The sequence below is a fragment of the Homo sapiens genome, chromosome 3, assembly GCF_000001405.40.
Source record: "Homo sapiens chromosome 3, GRCh38.p14 Primary Assembly".
Classification (NCBI taxonomy): domain Eukaryota; kingdom Metazoa; phylum Chordata; class Mammalia; order Primates; family Hominidae; genus Homo; species Homo sapiens.
This window is the reverse complement of record NC_000003.12, coordinates 38695273-38720470: the sequence shown is the minus strand read 5'-3', so window position 1 is coordinate 38720470 and position 25198 is coordinate 38695273. Positions and strand designations below refer to the sequence as shown.

The 25198-nt window shown below is 45.0% G+C and overlaps 1 protein-coding gene across 6 annotated transcripts in view; it reads left to right on the top strand.

Annotated features, from left to right (window-relative positions):
• SCN10A (sodium voltage-gated channel alpha subunit 10) overlaps positions 1 to 23664 on the top strand; it is a 119411-nt gene extending 95747 nt beyond the window's left edge. For 4 of the 6 annotated variants that reach the window (NM_006514.4, XM_011533994.3, XM_011533993.3 and 1 more), the window contains 8 exons: positions 1645 to 1818; positions 6391 to 6513; positions 8026 to 8310; positions 9574 to 9627; positions 10856 to 10993; positions 13088 to 13192; positions 18362 to 18632; positions 21909 to 23664. In NM_006514.4, the coding sequence (NP_006505.4) occupies positions 1645 to 1818; positions 6391 to 6513; positions 8026 to 8310; positions 9574 to 9627; positions 10856 to 10993; positions 13088 to 13192; positions 18362 to 18632; positions 21909 to 23122 (2364 nt within the window). In that variant the 3' untranslated portion in view covers positions 23123 to 23664. 6 annotated transcript variants of the gene reach the window in all.

The window sequence follows — 25198 nt, the reverse complement described above, 5'->3', positions numbered from 1 at the left end:
AAAAAAAAATCATCCATTTCCCTATCACTCAAAGAGAAACTCACTTGAAAACATGCTGGTATACCTCTTTCTCATCTTGCTTATGCATAAAATATACACATATTACAAAAATAAAACCACATTTATGCATTCTATAACCTCAGTACATTTTTCTCAGTAAATAGTCTCATATTATCTCATTTAATGGCTATAACATATTCCTTTATAATTTACTCAACCAATCTCTATGTTTACTTCTAATACACATTGAATATTCCCTGTGTGTACTCCCTTAGAGACGTTGGATAATCTCCCATCTTAGTCCTCGTCCTAGACACAGAATCGGAAGCTGAGAAAAGATGTGGGTTCAGTTGAAATCCGGCTTCAGCTGATCCCATGGAAAGCCCTGAAGCACAAAGGACACCAAAGAGCTGTCCCACCTTGAGGCAAAGAAGACAGCCTTGTAAATCCCCCTGTCACTGTCCCTGGCTGAGGGCTGCCCCAGCGGGGAGGATAAGCATTTCCCAAGGTGGACACAGTTTCCTCCAGCCCAGCGAAGCCATCAGGAAGGGGGTGTCTGCATCCATGAACTATTAGCAGCCGACACTCCCAGCAGATGAAGGATAGGGGCACTGGCCCCTTAAAGAGGACCTGAGTGGGCACCAACAGCCTCCAGTGTCCTTAGGATTAGTGCTTGAAGGAGGAATTGCTAGGTTCCTGAAACCTCTGAGTCACATTGCCAATTTGGCTTCACACAGGACTGGCCAGGTTTTCACTCCTGCCAGTCACTTGTAAGAGTGGCCGGGCGCGGTGGCTCACGCCTGTAATCCCAGCACTTTGGGAGGCTGAGGCGGGCGGATCATGAGGTCAGGAGATCGAGACCATCCCGGCTAAAACGGTGAAACCCCGTCTCTACTAAAAATACAAAAAATTAGCCGGGCGTAGTGGCGGGCGCCTGTAGTCCCAGCTACTTGGGAGGCTGAGGCAGGAGAATGGCGTGAACCTGGGAGGCAGAGCTTGCAGTGAGCCGAGATCCCGCTACTGCACTCCAGCCTGGGCGACAGAGCGAGACTCCGTCTCAAAAAAAAAAAAAAAAAAAAAAAAAAAAAAAAAAAAAAAAAAAAGAGTGGCAGCCCCCCACAGCCACAGCATCCTAGGGTTTCCCCTATTCTTTTCCATCTCCACCAGTCTGATAAAAGAAAAACAGCATCTTCTTTTAATTTGAATTTCCTTGATTACCAGTGAGATAGAACATTCTTTTTCAGAGGTGTGTTGGCGATTCTTACTTTCATTTTTGTAAACTGCCTGTGAACATCCGTTGATGCTTTTATTTTTAAACAAAGTCACTGTTAGCATCCCTTTGGTTCACTTCCAAAATCCAATTTGAGAAGGTTTTCTTTCTCCCTTGCATTCAGCATCCCTGCAAGTATCAGCAGGGCTGTTTGTCCCCATTGGCCCTGAAGAAGTCATGCTTTGGATCTCACAGTACCTCCTCCACTATCCCACTTTACCTCCCCACAGCAAACAAAATGCTACTGGCAAGCTGACTACCAAATCCCCTTCCAGGGACTGTGGTCAGGGCTGGCTGGGTCCTTCCCTATCAGTCTGGGCCCCAGTGCTGTGGGTCCAGGCAGCCTGCCATTCTGCATCCTTTCTTCCTTCCAGGCCTTTGAAGACTATTACCTGGACCAGAAGCCCACGGTGAAAGCTTTGCTGGAGTACACTGACAGGGTCTTCACCTTTATCTTTGTGTTCGAGATGCTGCTTAAGTGGGTGGCCTATGGCTTCAAAAAGTACTTCACCAATGCCTGGTGCTGGCTGGACTTCCTCATTGTGAATGTGAGTGGCTCAGTGGGAACACGTGGGGTTTGGGGTCCTCCCCTCTGACTCCTGGCTACAGCTAGGGCAAAGGAAGCTCAGAGACCTGGCCCTCAAGGGCTACTCCAAAGAAAAGTTTTGAGCATTTAGTGAGGAGTCTGAGAATAGCCCTGACACCCATGAGTGGTAAAGTCCAGGCAGTATGTGACTGTGACACAATAGTGACTGTTAGGTGAGTTATTAGGTCTCCATTCAGAAAGATCCCTGCAATCCTCTGCATTTTTACATCCAAAGTGAGATGACACATGCAGCTCTCAGAGGTCTTATGGCCCTGCATCCATAGATGGGTCTTCTGGACCTTGGGGAGCCATGAACTGTGAGCACAGAGAATCTTCCCACCTGCGGTTCTGTGGTCCTCACACCTGGCTGCACTTGAGAATCACCTGGGGAGCTATGAAATATGCAGTGACCGACCACCACTACCCCAGAGATTCTGATCTTATTGGTCTTGGGTGGTGCCCAGGCACCTGTATTTTATAAATGCTCCCAGGCATTTCCAAGGTGCAGCCATGGCTTAGAACCACTGAGCTTATACTGCTGCCTCCTCCCCAGTGGCATTGAAAAGAACAGAGGGCGCATTTGGAGAGGTAATGAGCTGGAGTTCATGTGTTCACACTCATGGTAACCTGTGGCCAGTAATCCCTGCATTAGAGAATTGACTGTGTGCTTCTCACACATCAGACATGTGATTCCTCAGTCATCTCTTCCTCATCTTAACCACCACATTGCACTATCACTGTCTAGGCCACTACCTTCTTTGCTTTGCAGCATGGTTAACTGAGTTATCTGTTCACTGCCGCATAGCTGAGGGTTTCTGCAAGCAGGGTGAGGCATGTGCTGTGTTGGTCTCTGCCTGCCCCACTCAAGCAGCTGCCAGCAGCAAGGTCTGCCCAGCAGAGGTGTCAGGAAATGTGTCTGTATTTGGTGCTTGCCTCCTGAAGCTGGATGAGGTTCAGCACAGAACATTCTGTCCAGCCTCCTGTGCTGGCAGGTCCTCCATAGCAGGCCTGTGCATTCAATTCTCTTCTTCCCTGATGCCAATGCACTAGCAGCTTCAGGCCACTGTACCACAAGGATTAGCTGTGAGGCCTGAAATCTGAGTCATGGGTGATAATTCTGTGCATATGAAATAATTATTCATAAATGAAAGGAAAATTATTTATTCCGGTGTCCCACCCCTTTGGGGGCACAGTCACTCCTGCTTATGTTGATCTCACCAGTCTCAGTCCTAATCACCTTAAACGGTCATGCACTCATTTCATCCATCTTCCTACTGATTCTTCCTTCCAACCATCCATCCTTCCTTCCATACATTTCACCTTTTGTATCCAACCATTCAGTCTTCCTTTTTCCTTCCTCCCAAACATCCATCCATCTTTATTTCTTCCAGCTGTACATCTTCATCAGTCCTCCCCTTCCATCCATCCATTCCCATTCTTCTTTCCCTCTTCTCTTCTGCCCAATCTTTTATTCTAAACTTCCTTCCATCTATTCATCATCCTTAACCCTTATATCTTTCTATCTTTTGATTCATTCTTCTATCCAACTGTCCAATCATCTAACATTCTGTTCACTCATTCACGCATCTTCCATCCAAGCATGCTTCTACTCACTCATCCTTCTATCCACTCATTCTTCTATCTTTCCATTCTTGTTTCAACCTATCCATCTATTCTTCCTTTCTTCCACTTATCTGTTCATTCATCCCTTTCCCTTCCATTCATCATCCATTCATCCATCCTATCAACCTTCCAGTCATTCACTAATTTATTCCATTCATCTATTCTGTCCAGCTCCCCATCTTTCCATTCATGCATTAGTCATTTTACCCAGCCATCCATCCTTCTCTTATCCACCTATCTCATCTATCCATTCACTATTCCCTGCTTTCATACTTTTCCTTTCTTGTTTGTTTCTCCCATCCTTCCATTCAACTATCTATCCTATCCATCTTTTTGTGTCTGTTATCTTTTAAAATTTTAAAAAATATATTTTATTGTATATATTTGTATTAGTCTATTTTCATGCTGCTGATAAAGACATACCTAAGACTGGGCAATTTATAAAAGAAAGAGGTTTAATTGGACTTACAGCTTCACATGGCTGGGGAAGCCTTACAATCATGGCAAAAGGAAAGGAGGTGCGAGTCACGTCTTATGTGGATGGCAGCAGGCAAAGAGAGAGGTTGGGCAGGGAAACTCCCCCTTATAATACCGTCACATCTCATGAAACTTATTCACTATCATGAGAACAGCATGGGAAAGACCTGCTCCCATGATTCACTTACCTCCCACAGGGTCCCTCCCCTCCCACAACACATGGGAATTCAAGATAAGATTTGGGTGGGGACACAGCCAAACCATATCAATTTTTAAGGGATACAAAATGATGTTATAAGATATATATATATATAAATGATTACTATAGTGGAACATATTAACATATCCATCATCTCACATAGTTACCCATTTCTCCCCCTGTGGCAAGAGCAGCTATAATTACTCAGCGAGCAAAAATACTGAAAACAATATGCTATTATTAACTATAGTATTCATGTTATACATTAAATCTATCCTATTTATCATTGTATCCTTTAATTCATCCCTCTATGCAATCACCCTTCAACTTTTCATCCAGCTGTACTTCTTTCTTTCTTTCCTTCTAGCCATCCCAATGATCCTATTTTTCTTCCATTTGCTATACATCTAACTATTGAATACAGGATTGTCTTATGAAGTGCTTTGTAAGAAACAGAAGCACAGAATAAATACTCACTATCTCCAGGATCTTACACTTTAGTCTTTCAGCAGACAAGACACACATGGAAATAAATGTATTATAAGGGTGAATGTGTTGAGCACTGCTGGGGGCAATTAGTATCTTGGAGACACAGAGACATGAGCCTTCTTCCACTCTTGGGGTGGGGTGGTTGAGAATTCTTCCTATGGGAGGTGGCATTAGATGTGGGGCATAGAAATGAGCAGGACCAAGGAGCTGCGAGAGGACTGGGGAAGGCCCGTCTTAGCTAAAGGCTGACCTTGAACAAAGGCACAGACACAAGTATGCTCAGGGAACAATTTGATTTGGGTAGAATGTGTGGGTGAAATATGACTGGAAAAGTAGGTTGTGACCATATGACACAGGCTACAGAGTATGGAGTTTATCCTGAGGGTGATAAAGTACCAGTGATGTTTGGGAGTAAGAGAAAGACATGATCATAATCAGATTTGCAGTGGAGAATAGATGCATGGTGCAGTACTAGGGCCTGGAGACTACTTGGGAGGCTAGTGGGCTGAGCAGTGGGAATGGAGGTGGGCTTGGGTGGACAGACTTTGCTGGAGAGGCACAGCACCTGTCTGCCCCAGCTGCAGATTATCCATGTGAGGCAGACTTCCCAGGGGGCTGAGCAAAAGACTGAATAGGGTTCAGCATGGAACTGGCCCCAAACCTCCCTACCCTCATGCACCCAGGCAGCTGGGTCTCACCTGCTGATGTCTGGAGCCTTGCATGAATGAAGGAAGAGGGTCCCTTCCATTCCGGTTCTTTGTCCTGGTGCAATAAGCCACTCATCCAAAGAATGGACATTGCTTGGGGCTCTGCCACTCAAGTATAAAGCCCTTCTTTTCTGAAGCTCCTGTGTGCATCCCACCTAACTGCCAGGATAAGCTGAGCCTGAATTCAGCCCACCATCTGTGGTGTGGCTAAGATCTCACAGGACAGGGTCATAGCCCGTATCTATGACATCTCCCTGGCACCTTCAAAGTTCCTAGCAGGGGAACTTTTTTCATGTAAGTTTCTGTCCTTTGCAGTCTTTGGACCACCACTTAAAGAAAACTGACAGACCAAAAGGGGCTCACAAGTCAGTCATTATATCTCAGATATCTATTGAAGCTAGATCTCATGGACCCATACCAGAAACTTTTTGAAGAACTGCAGAGCTATCAGAACTTTGGAATTCTCTTAGTCTGACTTTTTCATTTTACAAAGGGTGAAAGTACCCTGGACTAGCCAGGCACTAACCCAAGCTCACAAAAAATCAGGGTTCAAATGGGAATTAGACCCCACCCAAACCACTATTCTTTCCACCCCACTTCTCTGAGCAAATATAATTCAGATTACTATATTCCTCAGAATAGACTCTCAGCATAGCCCCTAGGAGGGAACATCATGTCTCCAAGTCTCTGAAAATCAGTTTCAAGGTTGTTGAGGCCTGACTGCTGCCCCTAGAAGGAAAAGGAAGAGTTGATTTAATACACTGGAAGCTTGGCCACCTACGTACCAGAGGTTGGTGATGTTAGAGACTGAGTTTTTCTTGCCCAGATTGTTTAAGAGAGTGGTGAATAAAATTTTTAATAAAAGGGAAGAGACAAAACTCTTTCTAGACCTCTCATTGGAGTTCCGAATAAGGTGGGAGCTAGGATGATGGCTTAGACGTGTAGGAATGGGAGGCTGGGCAGGGAGTTCCTGTCTCCTTCCACGAGGACTGCCTTTCTGGAAACCTAGAGTGATGTTTCTGCCCTCTCCTGCACTCAGATCTCACTGATAAGTCTCACAGCGAAGATTCTGGAATATTCTGAAGTGGCTCCCATCAAAGCCCTTCGAACCCTTCGCGCTCTGCGGCCACTGCGGGCTCTTTCTCGATTTGAAGGCATGCGGGTAAGTCTGATCTCAAAACTTCTCTCATCTGGCCAGGCACGGTGGTTCATGCCTGTAATCCCAGCACTTTGGGAGGCTGAGGCGGGCGGATCACCTGAGGTTAGGAGTTCAAAACCACCCTGGCCAACATGCCGAAACCCTGTCTCTGCTAAAAGTACAAAAATCACTACCACCACGAGGTGTGGTGGTAGTGAGCCGAGATTGTGCCATTATACTCCAGCCTGGGTGACAGAGCGAGACTCCGCCTCAAAAAACAAACAAAAAACTTCTCTGGTCTGCAGGTTTTGGTAACCCTTCCCCCTTTATGCCCTCCATCCCACCAACCCTGAGCTCCGGGGCCCCACCTCCAAAGGTAGGCTCTGAGTCTTCACTTCCTGCTCTGACTTTGGTGGTGCTGCATGTCCTAACTCTCTTAGTTCTCTTTCAAGTCTTTTTGTGGGCCCATCTTCCCTTGTCACCCATAAATATTACAGCCACCAGGACCCAGACCTCACCCCCTTTGCTCTTAGTGAAGTAATCCTGAATCATCGCTCCACAAGCATCTATTATCTCAATCACCCAACTCTGCCTCTTATTGCCAACATCTCCAGAACATCCCAAGTTCTCTGTCTTTCCATGACAAATGAGTCTTTCCTCTAATACTCCATGAGTGACATCATCAGCTCATTACCTCAGCTGCCACCCACTGGAATGCTTCTTCTCTCCTACTTAATGCAATCATCAGGTCCTGTAAATTTTTCCCTTCCATCCACCCCTTTCCTTATCCACCACTGTCAGCCTCCACCTTGCCCTAACTGCCTCCGTCAGGACAGAATGCTCACAGCCAGAGCCTTGTCTTAGAGATTGCTGATTGACACCCACCTCTTCCTCATAATTACAAATGGCTCCCCAGCAGAAAGTAAGGTTTTGCTTTGCTCCACTATCATTGGCTGGAAGTAGTCATCATAGCTTCAAAAACAAAAGTGGGCTTTTGAAATTAACTTGTACCTTTACAAACACTAGGACCCGAAGATTGAAATAGTTTGAAATTTATTCTATTTTGTATCTAATAGATTCTCATTTGCTTATTTACAAATAAGCTATTTTGTGAATATGGATTTAGGTTTTCACTGGTTCTTGACCACGGCATACTTTAAATTGTATTTAAATTGTGTTTGTGTTTTATGTATGGTATTTAAGGAGAATAAGTCAAGGTTCTAGAAGTCTGTATGTGCAAGTATAATACACACACTCACACTTCTAAATGAGTGCAGTATGCTTGTAAACTCATCCATCTTCTCACTGCAACCCACCCTGAATGAGGTTAAGGGAAGAAGGTCTAAATCCATCTTCAGCTGCCCAATGTCTCTCAGTCTTCTGAGTCTGAATTATTGCACTAATTAACCCACTTCTCTTGCTTCTTCCAAAGGCCACTGGCTCATGAAGCAGCCTGAATGAGTATAGAAAGAGATAGAATCCAGCAGAGGGGGTGGGGCATTGGGAGGTTCCAGGTCTTTCTCTATCTCCCACCAGGTGGTGGTGGATGCCCTGGTGGGCGCCATCCCATCCATCATGAATGTCCTCCTCGTCTGCCTCATCTTCTGGCTCATCTTCAGCATCATGGGTGTGAACCTCTTCGCAGGGAAGTTTTGGAGGTGCATCAACTATACCGATGGAGAGTTTTCCCTTGTACCTTTGTCGATTGTGAATAACAAGTCTGACTGCAAGATTCAAAACTCCACTGGCAGCTTCTTCTGGGTCAATGTGAAAGTCAACTTTGATAATGTTGCAATGGGTTACCTTGCACTTCTGCAGGTGGTGAGTCAACCATGAGATCAACCATATCTCTTGCTTTGGCCGCTCAATAAAATGGAGAGTCTAGGTTCCCAGAAGATGCTATGTGGGGACTTTGCAAGGAGTAGCACTCAGTGTGAACTGAGGTCATTCTCTATTCCTACAGACTACACCATGAGGCTAGAGGGCCTTCCTAGTGAATATGATATCACAGTGGTGCAATTACACAAGTGTGGGCTAGTAGAATAGCATAAAGGGATGGGCCTGCCATGGGATTATCAGGTGGTGAGTTAAAACACAGAACCTGTACAAAATAGACACGGCATAGCCACATGTTCAGTCTTCAACTTCACATCATTTCCTAAATGGTAATAAATTATGTCTCATTAGGTCTATTGTAATGATATATAATGTTGGTGATAATGACAGTCAAACACATTCATCCTGTCTTTCTTTCTTTCATCATCCAGTCAATCACTCATTTCTTGCCTTCATCTACCTGTTCATTCAGTCCTCTGTTCATTCAAGTGTTAATACAATTACTTATACATTTGTCATGCAGTTACTCTTGAGTGTCTACATTCCACCATTGGTTCTTGCATTTATTCAACAAATAATCTCTGAGTAGCTCTGGTATGCCAGGCATGGTACTACTCAGCCCTGGGAGATACAGTCAGAACTGGGCTTGGACACTGATGCTGTATGAGAAACAGACTAATAGGTGAATTAAAACAGCTCATTAAGTGCTGTAACAGGCCTAGGAGTGTAAGAACTAAGATGTCTTGCATGCTCTGAACATGCTGGAAGGCACACCCAGTTTCTAGACCTCAAGAATGCTAAAGCTGAAGGCAGGAACATGGAGGTCTTCTATTCTCAACTTCTCCATCTGGAAGATATACCATTCTTACATCATGTGCATAAGGTGGGAAAGTGGCTGAGAAAATGGCAGCCCTGAGAGGGGAAACCTTAGGCAAGTGCACAGAGCAGACTTGTAGCAATTGGCACTAGAACCAGACACCTAGACACTCAGTCCTCAGTCCATACTACATTCTGAAAGGCTCTGTGTCTTTAATGCTACTCTATTCTTAAACAGCCACATGTGGGATTACTTTAAATCATCATATGAGATTAGTCAAGTAACCCAAGGGAACTTTTCCTTTCATTCTTTCTGCACAAGCCCTTTCCAACACAGGACTCTCTCCTCTCTCACTGGGCCACCATGGCTTGGGAAGGGTCCAGTATAGATGGATGGGCAGACACTGAGTGGCCTCTGCTCCTTGTCTCCAGGCAACCTTTAAAGGCTGGATGGACATTATGTATGCAGCTGTTGATTCCCGGGAGGTGAGTCTCAGCCCACTGTCCCTACAGCCTTCCCCTCTGTGCATTCTACCCATATCAGTCTGCATTTGAAATGAAGTGACGATGACCCTGGTACTGGAAGAGGCGATCACCCAGCAACCTCACACTGTCCCTCCTTGCAGCAGTGTCCAGCTGGCTCTCTGTTGAGTGTTTCAGCCACCGAGGCTTTCCCCCTTTCATCTACACTCCCCAGGCTTCTCGAGGTTTTCCTCTGTTCACTGTTGAGGAAAGCATCAGATAACCTCTAAGAGACAGTTCATGTGAGCCACTCCCTGGACAAGGGTGGGAGCAAAGCAAGGGTAGTAGCTAAATCAAGGTGCATAGGGAGGAATGAGGTAGAATCTCAGGAACTATCATAAAACCCAGGATGGGCCAGGCGCAGTGGTTCATGCCTGTAATCCTAGCACTTTGGGAGGCCGAGGTGGGCAGATTGCCTGAGCTCAGGAGACCAGCCTGGGCAATACGGTGAAACCCCATCTCTACTAAAATATGAAAGAAATTAGCAGGGCATGGCGGCTTGTGCCTGTAGTCCCAGCTGCTCGGGAGACTGAGACAGGAGAATCTCTTGAACCCGGGAGGCAGAAGTTGCAGTGAGCTGAGATTGCGTCACTGCACTCCAGCTTGGGCGAGACAGCGAGACTCAATCTCAAAAAAAAAGAAAAGAAAAGAAAAAGCCAGGCTGGGGAGACACTATTGGGGAATGACCACTTCCTGCTGTGGCAGGCACTGTCAATTCCCTGCCACCTCTTCCCTTAGCCCACTTCTGATTTCACCTGCAGGCTGCACTTCTGATTCTCTGTATAAAGACTCCAGGGCTTAGGAGCTTGTGCAGCAACTTCTCCCCCAAGTACCAGGGATTTAATGTCCCTAGGGGCAACCCTTACCAATAAGTTTTGGGAGTCTGAGGATAAATACTCCAGTTTCCCTGTCCCTTGGTGATATAATCCTGCATGTGCTCTACACAGTTACTCAGAGGACCCCAGTAGGATTGCGCTTCAGTTGCCCACAATGATGCCCTGCTTAACAACATCCTCTTCACAGGCTCTTCTCCCATTCCCGCTTATTCTTCCCCACTCCCTCATTCCTGCTTCCTTGGATCACCTCCCAGATAAATCACCTGCACCCAGGTCCATGTCTTAGGCTTGGCTTTCAGAGTGAACCTGAACTAAGACACCCACCCTCCTTCCCACTCTCCCTTGTCTGGTCACAGGTCAACATGCAACCCAAGTGGGAGGACAACGTGTACATGTATTTGTACTTTGTCATCTTCATCATTTTTGGAGGCTTCTTCACACTGAATCTCTTTGTTGGGGTCATAATTGACAACTTCAATCAACAGAAAAAAAAGATAAGTGGTGCTCAGGAGTTTCTGGTTTCTGCTGTAGTGGTAAGCCTTATATTTCCTGTTCCCTGCCCAGCTCTGGCCTCCTGACAAAAGCCAACACTACTCACAGCCCATCACTTTAATATCAGTGCTAACCCTTGCCCTGTGATTGCTGTTGCAGGAAGAGTTGCATTTCTCTCTGTCAGCAATGCCCCACTAACATCCTCACTCAGGATTCACATCTCAAAGGGATCTTGGTCTTCCCAACTGGAACCAGGTGTGTTAGATGTGTTCCAAGTGAGCCCTGGGAGAATACAAGCAGGGAAAGAAAGGGATCTAGAACTTGCTGACCTGTTGGGGGATATGATCCCCACAAAGGACTGAGTCAGGGCACCTCAGGAAAGGCCATGGCCCAGCACTGGCAGAATCCCAACCCTCCTTGGGATGGGGAGGAAGGCTTGTGCCTCCAAGGGTGCCGACTCTGATTAATAGGAATCGAATCCCAGATAACCTCTCATGTTTATAAGAAAATGTCAGGGCAATAAAGGTATAAAGTATTTTCCTATTATCCTTTCATTTAATGCCTTCCATACCCCTGAGGTAGATAGGCGCTGTTCTAGATTTGCGTAACTGAGATCCCGAGAGAAAAGGGGCTACATGGATAAGTCACAGAGTACATGCAAACCTGGGTTTGCATTCCTGACTCAACTACTTGTGGATGGCTCATGCTGGCAATATTTTAAACCCCTCTGAGTCTCAGTTTTCTCATTCATTCAATGGGGCTAATAATACCTACTCTCTGGATTGTGGTGAGGGGTAAACAAAATCCTGAACAAAGATCACTGAGCATAAGACAACTTTGGTGGTGCAGTTTCTGGCACTGTAACAGCAGAGGGGAGTGTGACTGGCAGCGCCTCAAGAGCACCAGATGCTGTTGCTATTAACAATTTAAAATATATACCTACTAGGGCAGGCATTCCACTTACAGGAAATCCTTGCCCAGGGTTCTGAGCATAAGAAGAGGACAGGATAGGTCTGGGACAAGACAGTGCTATTTAGTACCCTGGGGAGGTTTGAGATTATTGAAGCAATCATTTCTCTCATTTTACAGATGAGAAAACTGAGGTCAAGAAACAGATTACAGAGGGAGATATTAGGTAACGGAAGGAGATGAGCTAGTGACCAGGCTGGGGTCACTGAGAAACTGCATCTACTGAATCCTTGGTCAGAGTTCTCAGCATGACCTCACCTGGAGCTCACCTACCCACTGCCCTTGCCCTTTCCTTCTCTCCCCCCATAAAGATGGTCCTCCCAGGAAGCCCTTTGTGTCCACAGATCTTCTCAGATCTCCTTTCAAATTCCACAGATCTCAGCCCAGTTTCCCAGCATTTGCAGGGACTAACTTACATAAACATGTTATTAAAATAGGTGGCTTTCAAATTATGTCAGGAAGCTAAAGGTGAGAGTTTGAATGAAGAAAATCCAAAGGGCCCCTAAAGAAAAACTAATACCCAATCCTAAGGGAGGAAAACATCTTCGTTGGTGCAGTTTCTGGCACTGTAACAGCAGAGGGCAGTGTGACTGGCAGGGCCTCAAGAGAACCAGAGGTCCCTCTGAGACCAAGGACCCAAGGATAAGGCAGTAATTGTCCTCATCTCCTCCTCTCCAGAAAAGATTTGAGGGCTTCTGTCCCTCCCAGAGTCTTTGCTTCAAGGTCCTCAGGAAATCTCTTGCCCCCTGGGAGGGACTGTGACTCTAGAAGCCCAAAGAATTTTACTGGAATGAACAGGCTAGATCCAAGGCTCAGATTTGAACCAACATGTACCTTCTCCTTGAGTCCTGTTTACCAACCCTCCCCACCCTTTATCCAGCATCTCTGGATCCCTGGAGAACAGAAACTGGCTTTGCTTTAGAGACCCAGGCAGGGAGTCAGCAATGGAACTCAGTCCCACCGTTCCGACACTGGATGTGGCAAGACACTCCTTGATGCTGGGCTTGGTTTGTCTATCTGCAGAGGAGGGGAGAAGGTTGATATGATCCTTTCTCTCCTGCCTGTTCTGATTTTGGTATCCGTAGGGGGTTCCTCTTGCTTTAGTAACAGTGTGGCCCTCTCTGCACTTAGGGGGCCAGGACATCTTCATGACAGAGGAGCAGAAGAAATACTACAATGCCATGAAGAAGTTGGGCTCCAAGAAGCCCCAGAAGCCCATCCCACGGCCCCTGGTGAGCCCCAGAGGTTTCCTCTAGCACAGCCTGTCTGTGAATCCAACATGACAGTCTATGCCTGTGTCAGGCAGGGGCCTGAGGGAGTGCTGTTTATGGAAGAGAAGATCTGGGTTGACGTTGGGATGAGGGTGATGAGGGTTCCTAGGCCCAAGGAATGAGAAGTTCAAAAGAAGCAACTCTGGTCTTCTGGAGTAAACATACCTTTTACAGCTATTTGAAATGAATCTGTTGGGGGAAGCACTGAGTTTCTCCAACAGTTTTAGAGTTCAAGTACAGGATTGGAGGCAGGTTAAGCTAAGTGACAGTAAGGGTAGTTAGAACCCAGGGATTAAACTTGTGTGGTTATGTATCATGGTCTAGGTCGCAGTAGATCTCCAGTATCACCCTATATTCTACCCCACGCCTACAGGTATAGAGAGGAAATGACAACAACCCAACTCCCCTGTCAGGATCCAAGATGCAGTCATGGTAGTGGTCAAGTGGCCCAGTAGGAACCAAAAGTTATCCCACTCGAGTTTAAAGATTGGGCAAAAATTAGGGCCAGACTCTAGTTTCACTCCTTTTTTCATAAAGATCTCAAGAGACATGGCTTTGCGTTCCTCCATTAAATGTACTACCCATACCACACATGATATCACCTAAGTTCTTCTCAGTCTTCTGCCAGAAGATAGAAAACATCAAGCCTCTGAGAGGCCCTAAGATAGCACTTTTTTGGGAATGGATGAACAGGTTTGGGGGTGAAGATGTTGATGTGTCAGAAATTATTGTTGATCGTCTTCAAAGAATTTCTGAGCCATCCACTCCAGTGAATGGAATTGGCCCTGTGTCCTTCTACATAAACTTTCTGTGGCTAAGATGCAGCATTAGTGAAGAAAATCACAGGTATTGCTGATGACACAATTTCATTAGCCCTTCCCCACACAAGGGAAAAGTCCAAAGGACATTTAACAAAGGAACAAGCCTTTCCCTAAATGAATTATGGAGACATGCATTCTGTTAGCCAAGCTATTAGATTTTTTTAAATCAAGGTATAGGATTTGCATAATTTACTTCAAACTTTGTCAGAACAAAGTGAAAAACATTTACAAGAGAAAAAAGTGATGACTTTTGACACTGTATTTTGAAATAGTGGTCATGAATTTATTACTAGTCTAGATTCTGATAAGAAGTATTACAATGGGGAGTGGGGAGTGATAGGAGGTTCAGACCTCTGTAGGGGCACAGCTTTCTTCCTAAATCACCCATACAATCAAGATAACTGGATTTGAGTGAACCTGAGCAAAAGTCCTTAGGCTCATTGAGTATCCCTCCATCAACAAGTTCAGTGGAGAGGAGCAGGCTCAAAATTAAAATTAGGTGAAAGGCTGAGTCCCAACCACATTCAAGTCATGGGTAATGAGAGGAGGACCCTAAGACTTACTGAGAAGCAAGCAGCTGAGTCCACACTGGCCTTTACTTGTGGCTGGAGTAAGATTGAATCCACATTTGAGCCAGATGCCAAGGAGGTGTGTGCTAGGGACAACCCTTGGCAAAAACATGAAAGTTTTTGGCACCTTCCCCCACATACTACTCAATCTCTCTTTGACATCCCAGCTTCTTCCCTGTCATCACCCAACCCCATAGGCTGCCAAAGAAAGCTTCCTCCCCTCAAGGAAGACAACATTCTTAGGACAAGATAAATCATATTTCAAAAAGGGACCCTGGAGAGGGCATCTACCTACAAAGGCATGACCCTAATGTTGAAATTCCAGGCAGTAAATAGGAGTGGGAGACGGAGTTGATGGTCAGGCAGGAAGACCTGCAACAAAATCACCATTTCTCCTAATTAAGCTGCAACTAAGATCCTCCGAGGATGGCACAGGGGGAGACCTCCACATGTGGAGGGGAAGTGAAACCTCATAACCAATTCTGTTCCTGAGATTCTCCATCCTTTGAATGGAAGAAGAGTGGATTAGTAATTCACTCTCAACCTTTTGCTAGCCTTAGTGGAGGAACGTGGCTCTCCCCTTAATATTCTGGCCCAAGCAAGGTAAACACTCTTTCCTTTGTTCCCTAATTTCGCATAGCTGAGGCAAGGCTAGAACATTTAAACAAAACTTTGAAGTGGCAGGGATGCCAACAGAGAAATCAGCACAAAGCAGAGTCCAAGCAGCACCTGCAGATGGCTGCACTCCAGGACCCATAGGTCTTGGACCATCCTAGCTCCTGACCAGCATCCAAATGGCAGGCAACATCTTTGACACCCACATGCCCAGTGGCACAAGCCGGATCATCTTCCCTCTTCAAAGTCTAGAACCAAGAAAGAAATCCAAGGCAAAAGGAAATTCCCACTCCCAACTAAGACCCTTCTTCCCAGGCCCAGCTTGCTTTTGGCCAGATTATTGGCCCTGGAATGTCCACCTTCTCCCCTTAGGAGCCCCAAAGGTCAAGCTGGTCATACCAGCAAAGCACTGACACAGGATTTCTGCCCCATCAGTGCATGGGTGCCATTTCATGACAGAGCTTACCTGGGACCACATAGGAGCCTCACACACCTCCTCTCACCTCTGATGATGCTCAGGCTCTAAATCTTGTTTCTTCCATAGGAAAAGTTAAGGATTCCACAAGACTGGGAAATTTTATTCTTTAACATTCCCTGCTACAGAAATCAATAAAAGCAGCTCTCACATACTCCACTTTATAGAAATATAATAGGCTCTAGAGAATATCACATAATCAATCACCCACTTCATCGTCTCTGAGAGCACCAAGGGTTGCAAAGGTATGATCCCTGACCGTGGGCTAATCCAAGAGCAGCTAGCAAGCTACTCCATTCCCTAAAGTCAGAATATCCAGGGCAAACTTCACACCCAGCCACTTAACGATGCCGTTGCCTGCTCTGTTTAATTAGAAGTCATGTGACCATGAATGGGCCTGTATTTTTTCACCATTTTCAGTGATGAAATGGAAGGGATTAGTGGCTCAGCAATCCCCCTCCTGCCCCAGGAAAGATGTGAGCCAGCAGTTCTGCCATGAGCAAAGGCCACTTTGGTCTGATTCTTTGCTCTAACCCAACAGGATAGCAACCCATCCCCACCATGAAGCAGAAGGCAAGGATCAGCCTCATCACAGCACTTCCCCCTCTGCTTGCTGTGCAGCTCCCGTGGGCTCCCTGGAAGGGATCAGACAGGTTCTTCTCTTCCTCCCTCATAGCCACTCATGCAGAGGCTTGCACATCCCATACATTCAGTATGTACCCTTGGTACAGAATTGAATTTAGTCAAATAAAGGGTGACTTTAAATTTTCATTTGAGCTATGGTTAACTCAGAGCTGCCCATTCTGTCTTCCATTCATTTACAAATTTGCAGAGCATCTGTTGCAGCCAGGCACTATGCAGACACCAGGGTTAGAGCAGTGAGCAAGACAGACAAAGTTCCTACTCTTACAGTTTACAGTCCAGTGACAGAGGCAAACAGTTGGCCAAAAGTTGCACATATATGTTAATTCCTGGCTGGATAAATTGTCAAGGGAGAAAAAATGGGGTGAAGAGCAAAGGATGCTCAAGACTGAGCCTCGAAGAACTCTGATGTCTAAAAGTTGGGTAAAGGAGACTATAAAAGAGCATCACAAATGGCAAGAAAAGAAGCAGAAATGTAAGGCATGGTGGAGACCAAGAAAGCAACATTTCAAGGTAGAAGGGTACTAGGCAATATCAGACAAGCGTCCTTGGATCTAATATTATGGGAAGTCATTCATGATCTTAGTGAGAACAATCTCTGTCAGGATAGAGGCAAAAGCTCTGTTGATGTGGGCTGAGGAGTGAATGAGGGACACTGATTGTACACAACTCTTTCAAGAAATTTTGCTTTGAAGGTGGGAAGAGATCTAAGATGGTAGCTGGAGGGAGATGTAAGTTTCTGAAATATTCTGCTTTAAGTTAGGAGAAACTAGGTCATTAGAGATTTGTGCAATAAACCAAGAGACAAAGAGTAATGCACATGGACATTAATGTTGCCTAGGATAATAGCCAAGAGTGGGCAAATATGGCCAAGAGCCTCACCCATCATTACTGAGGCAGAGGGACCAAGAGTTTGGCAAGCGGCAGTAATGAAGAAGTGACAAAACTAGGTGGCAAAGCTTCAAAGCAAGAAGGGGTTTTACAAGACACAGGAAGAGCAGTGGTGTGGAAGGGTCAGTGGTGAACAAGGAGAACGCCAGGCCTAACCCCTGAGGTACATGGGGTAGGGGAGAATGGCAGCCTTTGAATAGGGGGAGATATGTGCAGATCAAGGCAGGTGAGCTCCATAGAGGTCAGGAGAAGTTTTGGGAGAAGGTCAAAGCGTGGGGAATGGGGTTGGGATCAAGGACTCACAGAGCAGTAAGATGTTCACAGCACTAAAAGAAGAGAAGATCACAGTAGGAGCTTTTTAAAGACACCATAAAAATAACCAGATATAAATGATCTCTTGGTTATCCAGGCCACTCTGCCTCCTTCCAAGATGCAAACAACCAAGACTTGACCCTACGCCCTATACCTGCATTTGCTTAGGCATTTGCACAGCACCAGGAACAGAGGGAACATTTCCAAGAATAAGTTTCCCCTTTGCACTTGACTTTACTCTCAGCAAAGTAGCTCAAATTAATATTTCAAGCAGCTCTTGAACTCTTGCAATGTGCAGGGCACTGCAGGGAAACAAAGTTAAGGAAGGTATAGCCCTTGTCCTCAAACAGCTCATTGTCTAGTAGAGAAGACGCATATACAAAATGCTAGAACTCGAGGCTGACTGAAAAGTGGGATCCCCAAAGGGACAGGGTAGTGTGTTGTCACGTGACTAAGGGACACTCCATGCAGTAAGTGGAGCTTAAAAGAGATGGATTACTCAAGACTGTTGGAATTTAGACAGCCAAGAGAGGAGATAGGAGGGCATTGTGAATAGAGGCAAGGGCACAGACCAGGACAAAAGAAGGGCCTGGTGGCATCAAAGGGCCAGGAGAGGTATTAAGGACTTGAACTGGGGCAATGAGGTAGAGTCAACTAAAAGTGAAATTTTGGAAGAGGTAAGGATAGTATTTCGCTTCTGTTAAGATGTGGAGTGTGATGGAGACAAAACTCATCTACAGATAACACAGATGCCTGGTTTGTGCTGGCCCAAAGGCCCTGATGCCACTATCTCTTGTTTTCTCAGAACAAGTTCCAGGGTTTTGTCTTTGACATCGTGACCAGACAAGCTTTTGACATCACCATCATGGTCCTCATCTGCCTCAACATGATCACCATGATGGTGGAGACTGATGACCAAAGTGAAGAAAAGACGAAAATTCTGGGCAAAATCAACCAGTTCTTTGTGGCCGTCTTCACAGGCGAATGTGTCATGAAGATGTTCGCTTTGAGGCAGTACTACTTCACAAATGGCTGGAATGTGTTTGACTTCATTGTGGTGGTTCTCTCCATTGCGAGTAAGTGGGCAGCCACGTGGTGGGGAAGCCCCACCTCTGTTTGGGGGTCTTTGGGATGCTCTTCTAAAACCAAGGAAATAACCAACCAACTTTTTGAAATACGTGTTTATGTTAGAAGAACCCTGTATTTGCAGCTTTCCAAGAGTAGCAAGTTTTAAATGCCTTGGGCTGCTCTCTCAGTGAAATGAAGAGGTTCTCTTGGCCTTCTCCATGCTCACACGAAGTGTTTTCAGGCACCTACTGTGTGCACAGCCCATGGCTAGAACCTCAGGGGCTGACAGGGAATAATCACTCCTCCTGAGAACCTCAGACCGTAAGATGATGGAGTCTCCAGCAGACCTTACTTTTATGGTCTTGAAAGCAGGGGGCAGGTGGTGTAATGTGAGATGAGTCTTAAAATCTGTTCTGGAAAAGGAGATGGATTGCCATCAAAGTGAGGAAAGACTGGGAGGAGATTGTTCAAAGGAGATTCTCAAGTCTAGGGTCTGGAATTAAATCTCTACACAACTGTTCTATTAGGGAACATGAGTGATAGAAAAGTCAAGATATCAATGCCAAGAAATTAATACTGTTAAGGCCCAGTCTGGGTGTTGTTGAATGACAGGCCCAGTATTTTGGGTCCAGTGGTGTTCAGAGAAAATTACTAGAGTTAGAGGCTAACATGGGGAAATGGAGCTGCCTTGACTGAATACTTCCTAAGTTCTGAGCACTGAGCTGGGCTCCATGAATGTTCACAGCAGCCCTGTCAAGCAGGTGTTATTATCCTTATTTTATACATTTAAAATTGAGACTCAGAGATCAAGAATATTATGCAGGGTCACAGAGTTTCCAAGGGTTGAAGCTGAGTTTAGAACAGGCTCCAATCTTCTAATGAACTTGCTGCCTGTCACCAACAGCCAAGAGACTGTCCCTGGGCTTATGGGTTAGCTGAAGTTTGACCCTATAAAGGCCAAATCATGCTCACCAGCTTCACCTGGCATTATAAATGTATCTTGATTGGTTATATCCTGACCTGCTTACTTTTCATGTCGGGGTGTAGCTGTAGATTTAATTTGCCACTGATTTAGTAACAAGAGCTGAGAGTATCTAAATACAACTTAACAGCATTTCATCAACCTCCCCACCTTGGTGCTGAAACACAGCCTTGGGTTGCGTGTATTTCCGGGGATTTCAGTTTGTTTTTGTTCTTGTTTTATTTTGATATTGCTGCTCTGTTTTTTAACACTTTATTGAGGTATGATCCACATGTAAAAAGCTATACATGTTTAATGTACACAACTTTATGAGTTTGGAGATAAGTATACACCCATGAAACCATCACCACCATCAATGCCAGAAACATGTCCATAACCTCCAAATATTTCCTCCTGCCTATTTATTTATTTATTGGGTGCTAGGAACACTTAAGATTTATTCTCTTGGCAAATTTTTAGGTAGACAACACGGTATTGCTAACTATAGGGACTATGCTATAAGTAGAGCTCTAGGATTTATTCATGTCACATAACTGGAAGTTTGTACACTTTGACAAGTACCTCCCCAATTTCCCCTCCTCCCAGCTCCTGGAAACCACCATTCTATTCTCTGCTCCCATGAGTTTGACTATTTTAGATTCCTTATATAAATGCAATCATGTCGTTTTTGTCCTTCTGTGTCTGGCTTATCTCACTTAGCATAATAGGAGTTTTTGTTGGTTGGTTGGTTAGTTGTTTTCATTTTTGTTTTGTTTTGTTTGTCTTCCAAAATGAAAGATTCCAAAGGCTATTTTGATTTTATATTAAAGAAGGGAGCTTGTTTGTGTATCAGTAATATAGAAATAAAACATAGCCAAGTACTTAGTTCTATGATGGGGATATCTTAACTACCAGTTCCTGTGGCTTACAGGGTAGCACCATCCGCTGGGGCAGGAATCCCTTATAGAGCTGGAAAATAAGCAGAAAAAACCCACATATCAATCTTTCTACCCTCTCTCCTTACCTCCCTTTCTTCTTTCCCACCAACAAGAGGTGATTGAGTATCTAATTGTTACAAGTACGAGGAACCATTCTCCCTTAAAATAAGATCCTGGAGCAAATTAAAATGTGCTGTAGACCAGTTGTCTGGCAGAAAATTTTACCAGAGTATGTAGACAAATAATGTACCCTACACGATGGGAACATGTCCTAGTTAAACTGGAAATTCACAGAAGGTCTTCCACAAAGATTTTATAATCCAAAATTATAATTATTTCCCAAGTCCCCTTCTACTTTCTTCCTCTTTCCAACACAATATTGTGACCCATGTGCATAACAACAAAGAGCAAGTAGGGGAGAGGGCCCAGGGAACCTGGCAAGGAGCGAGAGCTTGCTGCTACATCCCTCACCATTTTTCCTGTGAGATGTTGAACCCTCTCTTACCTAAAGGCCTTGCCTCATCTTTGGTGGAGGCCTTTGGTACAAATAAGGCTCCCCAGGTCCCCAAGACCAAAAATCAAACATCTTCAAGTTAGACATCATATAGAGGGACATATACATTCTTTATATTTCCAACTTTGTTCATAGTTGGAGTTGGGGGCAGTAACTGACTCCCCCAAAAAAACCTATCTCCAGGCCCTAACATAAAGTTCAAAAACAGCTGGAACCGAAAAAAAAAAAAAAAAAACAAATTAAGGCATTGTGCAGACAGCTGGTCATTCAAATCCCTTATGCTTTAGCTGTCAGCCAGTTGCCCGAATCCTCAGGCCCCCTTGTAATTAACACCAGGCTCCGTACAATTAGCCACAGGACCGGGTGCCAGAAACAGAGTCAATCTTCACAGTAGGAGGTAGGGAGAGGAATCATAAGGGGTCCTGGCCTTCACAGAGCACAGGACCAGGGTGGAGGAAAGGGCATGACCCAAAGGCTGCAGTATCAGGGAGGAGCAGGGTCTGTGTCATAGGAAAAAACAGGCCAAAGACTGTGAGCCTGTGGAATAAACTGCAGTCACTTCCAGCTGAACTTGGCTGCAGAAGATAAGTTTTTGACTGTGGAGGTTGACCAAGAGGATATTCTAGGCGGAGGCAAAGATAACATGGTAGGAAGGGTAAGACGGAGGAGGAAGAGAGGACTTATGCAATGGGCATTTACTGAGCCCCTACTTTGTGCTACCTACCATGCCAGGCTCTGAGGGCCCAGAGTCCTCAAATGTGGATGCCCAAGTGGCAGTCTATACCAAGCAAAGCAGAGTGTCATCACAGCCAACTTTGTCACGTCTCATGGCTGGAGATACTAATTAGATAATTTCTTCCTTCTTTTAAAGGCCTGATTTTTTCTGCAATTCTTAAGTCACTTCAAAGTTACTTCTCCCCAACGCTCTTCAGAGTCATCCGCCTGGCCCGAATTGGCCGCATCCTCAGACTGATCCGAGCGGCCAAGGGGATCCGCACACTGCTCTTTGCCCTCATGATGTCCCTGCCTGCCCTCTTCAACATCGGGCTGTTGCTATTCCTTGTCATGTTCATCTACTCTATCTTCGGTATGTCCAGCTTTCCCCATGTGAGGTGGGAGGCTGGCATCGACGACATGTTCAACTTCCAGACCTTCGCCAACAGCATGCTGTGCCTCTTCCAGATTACCACGTCGGCCGGCTGGGATGGCCTCCTCAGCCCCATCCTCAACACAGGGCCCCCCTACTGTGACCCCAATCTGCCCAACAGCAATGGCACCAGAGGGGACTGTGGGAGCCCAGCCGTAGGCATCATCTTCTTCACCACCTACATCATCATCTCCTTCCTCATCATGGTCAACATGTACATTGCAGTGATTCTGGAGAACTTCAATGTGGCCACGGAGGAGAGCACTGAGCCCCTGAGTGAGGACGACTTTGACATGTTCTATGAGACCTGGGAGAAGTTTGACCCAGAGGCCACTCAGTTTATTACCTTTTCTGCTCTCTCGGACTTTGCAGACACTCTCTCTGGTCCCCTGAGAATCCCAAAACCCAATCGAAATATACTGATCCAGATGGACCTGCCTTTGGTCCCTGGAGATAAGATCCACTGCTTGGACATCCTTTTTGCTTTCACCAAGAATGTCCTAGGAGAATCCGGGGAGTTGGATTCTCTGAAGGCAAATATGGAGGAGAAGTTTATGGCAACTAATCTTTCAAAATCATCCTATGAACCAATAGCAACCACTCTCCGATGGAAGCAAGAAGACATTTCAGCCACTGTCATTCAAAAGGCCTATCGGAGCTATGTGCTGCACCGCTCCATGGCACTCTCTAACACCCCATGTGTGCCCAGAGCTGAGGAGGAGGCTGCATCACTCCCAGATGAAGGTTTTGTTGCATTCACAGCAAATGAAAATTGTGTACTCCCAGACAAATCTGAAACTGCTTCTGCCACATCATTCCCACCGTCCTATGAGAGTGTCACTAGAGGCCTTAGTGATAGAGTCAACATGAGGACATCTAGCTCAATACAAAATGAAGATGAAGCCACCAGTATGGAGCTGATTGCCCCTGGGCCCTAGTGAGAACACTCCAGCCTGGATATGTTCAGTTATGATGCGTCCTTCTGCTCTGTGTTAACTCTTTCCCATTGCAGATCACACCCAGCTACAGCCTCACCAATGCATGCCACTGGTCACAATGTCAGAACTGGGCAGGGAATGCAACTGGTAACCACCTTTGAAAAAACCATCATACACAAATAGGAGTCAGAAGCTAAGAGCACTTCCACTGTGATTTCCCTTCTGAATTTCAATATCAGATCATGGGTTCTCTTACTCTCCAGAAAATATCCCTTGTCCTTTTATTTTTGTTGTAATCAGATTATATTTACTGAGACAAACTTCTCAGGACCAGAACTTCCAAAGATATAGAACAAGAACATTACTGAAGGTCCAAGGTAGTCCTCTGTGGAGCACCATACAGAGATTGGCAATATTATTTAGGATTTTGCATGACTGCATGTGAGAGCTGTCGGACAACTGCTCTGACCCAGGGTAACACCTGTGGCCTATGTCATGAAAAGCCTTTGAGATATCCATTAAAATTAATATTTTTAAATGTATGTCCACACCAGCGTTATATCATAAAGCATCATTTTATTTTTCTCTTATTTCTGTGATGCTGACCTGTATCATGAGTCACTTACCCCTCACTTTCTGGGATCCTGATATTTTTCAGTTTGAGATTGAGGCTGGGTGGAGCAGGAAAGAGCACTGTCCTGGGATCTGGAAATGCCAGTTGGAATCCTAACTTTTCCACCAATTGTCTGGCTGACCAGGGCTAAAGTCTTTCCCCTCTTAACTTCAATTTCCTCACTTGTAAAATTGGTGGGAAGGGAAGAAAATGAATGCTTTCTATAGACTTCGCATCTCGTGCTGTAGAACTCCATGGTGCCTGCCCCATTTATATGGGAAAAGCACTCTTTTCTGAGGCTGAAATGGCTGGACCTTTCTGTTGTGTAGCTAAAGAGGCAGCTTTTGAATACATTCCAGAGTCTGTTCACATCTCATAATCAGACATTAAGGAGGAGAGTTTTTACATTACCTGGCGTCCAGAACTCCATAGTTAATATAATCAGAAGAAAAAGTATAATCATGAGAATGATGATCCAGTAGATAAAAGGTATGGCCAGTAGTTTCTTTCATTCATCCTGCAAATGTTATTAATTACGTACTATATGATGGGCACTGCTCCAAGAACAAGAGATAAAATAGGAATTAAGCCCCCAAAAGATTAATTGTATGAACTGAATGGAGTAAGAATTGTCAGAGGAGTTTATTTAGGCCAAAGGCATGTTGCAGATTTTGAGATGAAGAAAAGCAAAGACTCCCTATAACAACATAGGACATAGGGATTGTAATGACAGTCATGATCTTCCATTAACTCTTGGCCCATTCCCAGCCACAATCACAAAGATTCAAATATATAGCCAATTCATTGTCTATATATTTGATCATTTCATAAGATTTTCCATTTGTATAATTACAAAGCACAGTGGCTGATACATCTCACATGCCTCAAGAATACAGATTTGCCGAGGCCTTGCTCTCCCTTTTCTGTCACTATTAGCCCATAAGAAGTCAAAGAGGCTCTCAAGATGCTTACTGGGAGTTGGCAGCATCCACAGATGCAGGTTAATAAGATGATGATGGGATAGCAGAGGTACCAAGCCATCTCAAATCAGCTATTCTCTGAATGCCTGATTTATTCTAAAAGATGAGTTCAACCAAATAACTCTTCCTCTCTCGTACCACTGAACCCGGGAGCACAGATACTGACTGTGCAGCTTCTTCAACGTCTAAATCCCATGTGGATGATGAAAAAGCCATCTGAGATACTAGCCCAAGTGTTTATAAGACAGCTAAGTGGACAGAGAGTTTGGGCACAGGTTTATTTTTACAATGATATGTGAAAGAATTAAGTGTGCCAAACCATCAGACTGGTTCTATTAAAGCAGATGATACTATTCTCAAAAGTATTTTTACTTTGAGTTGAATTATGCTCCCTAAACATAGGAACATAATTCAACTTTATGTTGAATTATGCTTTGGGTTGAATAATGTTCCCTAAAAGGGTATGTTGAAGTTCTAACCAAT